General features: G+C 40.0%; 1 protein-coding gene and 1 long non-coding RNA gene across 2 annotated transcripts in view, besides 3 other annotated features; one reads left to right on the top strand and one right to left on the bottom strand.

The window, feature by feature from the left end:
- XKR4 (XK related 4) overlaps positions 1 to 6,115 on the top strand; it is a 440,027-nt gene that overhangs the window by 414,331 nt on the left and 19,581 nt on the right. The window lies entirely within an intron of this gene.
- XKR4-AS1 (XKR4 antisense RNA 1) lies at positions 829 to 4,620 on the bottom strand. The gene is made up of 2 exons (NR_134323.1): positions 4,577 to 4,620; positions 829 to 1,428 (listed from the first exon to the last, which is right to left on the bottom strand). It is a non-coding gene; the product is annotated as an XKR4 antisense RNA 1 (long non-coding RNA).
- Positions 1,718 to 1,847: an enhancer, noted in NCBI's record as "active region_27373". NCBI's record gives its function as "activates an Ori minimal core promoter by ATAC-STARR-seq in GM12878 lymphoblastoid cells {active_cell/tissue: GM12878}" and the evidence as "EXISTENCE:reporter gene assay evidence [ECO:0000049][PMID:35858748]".
- Positions 1,858 to 1,907: an enhancer, noted in NCBI's record as "active region_27374". NCBI's record gives its function as "activates an Ori minimal core promoter by ATAC-STARR-seq in GM12878 lymphoblastoid cells {active_cell/tissue: GM12878}" and the evidence as "EXISTENCE:reporter gene assay evidence [ECO:0000049][PMID:35858748]".
- Positions 4,639 to 4,728: an enhancer, noted in NCBI's record as "active region_27375". NCBI's record gives its function as "activates an Ori minimal core promoter by ATAC-STARR-seq in GM12878 lymphoblastoid cells {active_cell/tissue: GM12878}" and the evidence as "EXISTENCE:reporter gene assay evidence [ECO:0000049][PMID:35858748]".

Genomic DNA, 6,115 nt, shown 5'->3' on the forward strand with positions numbered 1-6,115 from the left:
AGATATATGTGTAATGAATGGTCATGTGATCATCTCACCTCTATAGTAGGGTTATGTTGTAAATCATCCATTCTTAAAACTACTTGTGAGAAGATACTTTAAATTTCCTCTAAAAAATGTTGAAATCAACAGAAAGGACGAAGAAATGGGGAGAGAAAAAGGGAAGTCAAGATGTTTGCAATGATGTTGGGAAGACAGGGAAATGATATGAGAAAAGCTACTGTATGGCAAATGTACTCATTCATTAAAAAGTCAAAAAAACAACAGATGTTGACAAGGATGTGGAGAAAAGGGAATGCTTATACACTGTTGGTGGGAATGTAAATCAGTACAACCTTTATGGAAAACAGTATGGAGATTTCTCAAAGAACTAAAATTAGAACTATCATTCCATCCAGCATTCTCACTACTGGGTACATACCCAAAGGGAAGGAAATGATTATACTGAAAAGACACCTGCACTTGTATGTTGATCGTGGCACTATACACAATAGCAAAAATATGGAGTCAGCCTAAGTGTCCATCAAAGGAGGATTGGATTAAAAAAAATATGGTACATGTACACCATGGAAATACCATGCAGGCATAAAAAAGACTGAAATCATGTTTTTTTGCAGCAACATAGATGGAACTGGGAGCCACTATCCTAAGTGAAATAACTCAGAAAGAGGAGGTCAAATACCGCATGTTCTCACTCACAAGTGGGAGCTAAACAATGGGTACATGTGGACATATGGAGTGGAATAATAGACATTGGAGACTCCAAAAGGTGGGAGAGTGGAGGGGGGTGAGGGCTGAAAAATTACCTCTCAGGCACAATGTTTACTATTTGAGTGATGGGTACACATAGAAGCCCAGACTTTACCACAATACAACATAGGCATGCAAGAAATCTGTACTTGTGCTCTGTCGATATATACAAATGAAAAAATTAAAGTTTTTTTTTAAATGACAGGGGAAAATGCACTAATTTAGGAAGTTAATAGGCAAGCAGAGAGACAGGTGCTGGGGATACCGTGGTGAGCCACAGGCTGCACACCCTCCCTCCTGGAGTCACATCCGTCAGTACCCACGCAGATACAGAGCTACAGCAGTCATGCCAAGGTATGTTAGGACCAATGCAGGGTGTTAGGGGCTAGAAAAGGTTTCCCAAAGGAATGAATGATGCTTCAACTGAAAATTGAGGAATGAGTGGGAATTCATTGGAGAGAGAGGCTTTTCAAGGGCGAGCACAGCATTTTCTATCTGTGGGAAGAGAATGCGGCTTTACGTAGCATTTGAGAAACGGAGAGATGGCAGTGTGGCTGGAGCACAGAGAGGCAGGTACAAGACAAGGCAGGAGAGCTCCGGTGGGCCCAGAGAGCTGCCAGGTCGGGCCTTCCAAGCTGTCCTGAGAGAGTCCCAGCCATCAGCACAGCTGTTCTGACTCTGGAAATAAAGAGAAAGAAGTCAATGAGAGCCCTTTAGTTGATTCCGTATGAAGGATGCATTTGTTGTTTTATTCTCTCTGCTTTTTTGTATGTTTGTAAATGTTCATGATAGTAAATTTTTAAGTTAGAACAAAAAAAAAGAGCCCTTCTCACCAGCTGCAATTTGGTTGTGAATGTGGGCCAGTGACCAGAAGTTTCTCTGAGAGTGCAAACTTTGGCTTGCCTGTCACAGGGGAAGGTTATGGCCTCCTTAGAGAGAAAGAAAAAGACAGGCTCATTCTCTTCGTGGAAGAATCAAAGAATTCGAGCACTTGGTTAATTTACTGAGCCTCTTCCATCTAGAGAATTAGGCTGTACATCCTACGAAGCGTGCTCTGGGGATTTCCACGAATTCTTGTTTACACCCAGACCACAAACAACACAACAGGAGTTCAGATTTTATTACACAGTGATTTGGCATTTGCAGCTGAAACTGAAATTGCAAAGAAGCAGAAGAGAGGAACAATAAAGAACCATGCAAATCTTTTGAACACTTCACTCTCTCTGTGGTTCTGGCTCTACATTTGGAATACTCTTTCTTTTTTTCCTTCCGTCCTTCCTTCTTTTCCCTCTAAGTGTCAATTCTGAATATATGTTAAGCACTTTGCAATGCTCAAGGGGACAGAAAGATAAACAAGTATTTATCCCCGCCTAAAAGACCCTCTGTAGTGAGAAATACACTAATTAAACAAGCACAAAATGAAGCATAATTATAAAGTGGGATCCATGCTCTTAAGGAACAGGAATTGTGTTCTTTCCACGAGAAAGCAAATGTTGTCACCTACAGCCAGATTGCTTCCAGGTATTTCATCGTAGGCCCGTGGGGTTTCAGGTCTCACAGTCAGACACACAGTTCTGGGGCTCAGAAAGGCTGGGAGTCCAGATGGGCATTTGCTGTCTGCTGGATTCAAGACATGGAGTGACTGAGGTCACCCAGAAAAAGGCTGAGAAGGGAAGAGAACTGAGGACTGCATCCCAAGCAATGCCAGTAGCTAAAGGACAACCAGACCAAAATGGGGCAACAAGAAACAACAGGAGGGAAAACAGGAGACACGTCTGAAATAAAGAAGAGGAGAGAGAAAAAAATCACACCAATGGTGTTTCTTGGGTTAAAGGAGGCTTGTTACATGTTTGTAAGATCTGGGGAAGGCGCTCTTATAGAGGAGGAGATGGAATCCAGAGAAAGGCAGGTTAACTGTTAGCGCCCTTGTTTAGGAAGTAGGAGAGTTCGCTTTGGAGAAGGACAATTTTCACCCAAGATAAATGGGAGGCAGGAGAGAGGGAAGATAACCTCTCAAAGTGAGAATCAATTTCTTTTCTATAAAATAAGATTATTGCACTAGGTAAGCTCTAAGGTCTTATCACCTATTTTCACATTTTAAGAGATAATATATAATCCCTTTTAGTCCCCTGTAGCTGTTTTTATAGCTTGATCTTAGAAGCAAGTTTTCATGAGTGATATACTATTCATTATTTTGAAAGAAAAGACTGACAGACCCATTATATATTTTTTCCTGGGGCCACTGAAGGAATCGTCATATTTTAGTATGATGATCCTGAAAAAATACATTGTTCAATGTCACTTATATATTCCTGCCTAGCAATGTAACCATGAAGAAGCAGCAGGTAAACCCAAAATTAGGAACACCTTTTTTTTTCTTTTTTTCTTATTTTCAAGTACTATACTCTTCAAACAATGTCAGTGTCATAAAGTCAAAGAAAGTATTTGGAAATAATCCAGATTAAAGAAAACTGAATTAATACAACAGCCAAATGTAGTACCTGATTCTAGACTTGATCCTGTATAGGGGAGAAAAATTTTGGAATGGACATTGTTAATGTCAATTGGTGAAACTAGAATACTGATAGTGGATTTTTTTAAAGTACTGTGTCAATGTTAAATTGATTGAAGTTGATAACTTTATGTGGTTATGTAAGAGAATGCCCCTATTCATAGGAAATAAACACTGGCATATTTTAGGATAAAGGACCATAATGTATGCATTTAATCGCAAATGGGTGAGAGAGAGAGACAGAGACAGAGAGAGGGCAATGATAAAGTCAGTTGACAATTAGGGCAAATGAAATATAGATGTTCAATATAATATTTCTAGTCTTATAATTTTTCTGTAAGTTTGAAATTATTTTCAAATAACAACTTAAAATACACATTAATAGCTAAAGGAGTGCTCAGAGTCCTGTGTTCCAGCACTGTGCCACTGCATATCAGAAGCTCCAGAGAACTCTAAGAATAAGGCCATGCCTTGCTGAGGAAGTCTGTCTTGGCATTGGAAAAAACTGAGCTCGTATTATTTGTATAAAGAGCAAAAGAACTAAGTGTTCTGTGGCAGTTGTGAATTTGTGAAGTTGTAAGGGTCTTAACTTGTATATGACCCCATATTTTCTGTTCAGCATATATTTGTCTTATAAAAATCAATTGTTAAACAGAAGAAAAAGTAAATAATAATCAAAGGAAGCCCCAGCACGGTGGCTCACGCCTAAAATCCTAGCACTTTGGGAGGCCAAGGCAGGAGGATCACTTGAAGCAAGGAGTTCGAGACCAGCCTGACCAACATGGTGAAACCCCCTCTCTACTAAAAATACAAAACTTAGCCAGGCGTGGTGGCACATGCCTATGGTCCCAGCTACTCAGGAGGCTGGGGCATGAGGATGGGTTGAACCCAGGAGGTGACGGCTACAGTAAGCTGAGATCGTGCCACTGCACTCCAGCCAGAGTGAGACTCTGTCTCAAAAAATCATCATCATCATCATCAACAAAGGAAGAAGAGAAATTCTCATTGCTAAAGCAGAGAATTCATAAAGAGGGTATCACAGGGACATGAAATTTCCCTTTGGTATAGATTTTTTAAATTGTAAGATATAGAGAGAGCAAAGCTGATAGAAAGCCTTCATTTTTCTACGGCTACAGTATCATCTTAACAAGTTCCTGGAGTGTCAAACGCAGGCTGAATTACTCTTTTAGGACACGCAATAAAAGGGGTAGAGATTACAGGGTAATTTGAAGGAGGCTAATGTTTCTATTCTTTTAAATCTGACAACAGATCATATCATCATTTCATGATACTGTGTACTTAAAGTTTTCTTACTATTTTTTCACTGCTTTGGAAAGCAGCCTTAAGTAACGTCTTCCTGTGCAAACTGGTAGAACCATTCTGACCACCCCGTTAACAACCCCGCTTTGGTTGGCGCGAGCCTGACCGGCGGTGCAGTTATCTTCCTGAAGGCGGCGCTGTGCCCCAGCTGTGCTGAAGGAGGCCGGCGTGAAGGAAGGGGAGGGGCGTTCCCGGGCAGAAACCCAGCTGGGCGCCGCGTTTAAAAGCACAAAGGGAGCATAGTCTAGTGAGAAGCTACACGTTTGCAAGTGGTACACATAAGAAGAGAGATATGAGCGGCTTCTATGCCCTACAAAAGCGTCGAAATTAAAAAAGGCACAATCTTTTGTTCTTAAATCCCCAAGTGATAATAAAGATGTTCGCATAGTCATTATCCCATTACCTTTTATTTCGCATTTCTCTCACCTTCTTTTGTCATTTTTTAAACTTTTTCTCCTTCCCCCTCTTTCACTCCAGAATTTGTTTTATAATTGATGTCGATGTTTTCTGTTGCTTAGAAATTAAATTATCAGAAACTCCTTTGTATACTGGTCTCTGACCTATAAATAGCACCACAGCTGCCTGTGACTTACAGCAATTAAAGATTTTTGTGCTAGCCAGAAAAAGAAAAGAAAAGAAAAACCTGAAGGTCCCAGTGTAGCATGTCTAGTTGTTCTGCTGGCTTTATTGGGAGGAAATATGAGAAATGGCTCTTAGAAAATATTTTCCTTATCAATAATTGTTCTTTGGAGTTCACCTTACTCAACGAGGATGTATCAGAAATAATTATTGGGGTTGAATGTATTTCCTGTCAATTAGTGTGGTCTTTTTCCACAAGAGTACTTTCTTTTCATTTTTCAAGGATCATAGACAACAGCTCTTCCCTATAAAAATATTTTTGAATAAAAAGTACCATTTCCATTATAAGATCTTGGCAATCAACATATCTTCTATTATATCCAAAAGAAGAGAAAGGCTTTAATGGGGCCTGGTTATGATTAATAATAGATTTGGTGAAGAAAAAGCCAGCCAGACTTTAAAATAGATGAGACCATTCTTAGTCTTGGTGAGTCTTGGTTCAGCTCATTAGGGAAGCCAGCTGCGATGCAGATTGGCATACCATTTCTGTGACAGAGGAATTTCCCATAAGAGCTCTCTCCTAAAGGAGGCCAGTGTGTTTTTAGGTGAGCCCTGGCCACATCTGGACGATAGAGATGAACTGTGCCATACAGGAGGTGGAACAAGAGTAGAGGAAAACAATACAAATGACTTTTAACATTTGGAAGCCTACTTTTAGAGGGAATACCAACCAAATGGGACCAATAAAATGATAAAATAAGAGGAGTGATTGAAAAATAATTTCAGCACAATCTTTAATCTATGAAGAGCTAAGAGATGGAAGACAGGGAACGGACATGTCTTCTTTTGTGGGAAAGGCAATAAGGAACAGATAAAGGCTGTAGGAAGAGTGCCAGATTGCACTAGGACAAACTGTGCACCAGGTATCACAAGAAACATTGCCAAGGATGTTGT

This window comes from Homo sapiens, chromosome 8 (assembly GCF_000001405.40).
Source record: "Homo sapiens chromosome 8, GRCh38.p14 Primary Assembly".
Taxonomy (NCBI): domain Eukaryota; kingdom Metazoa; phylum Chordata; class Mammalia; order Primates; family Hominidae; genus Homo; species Homo sapiens.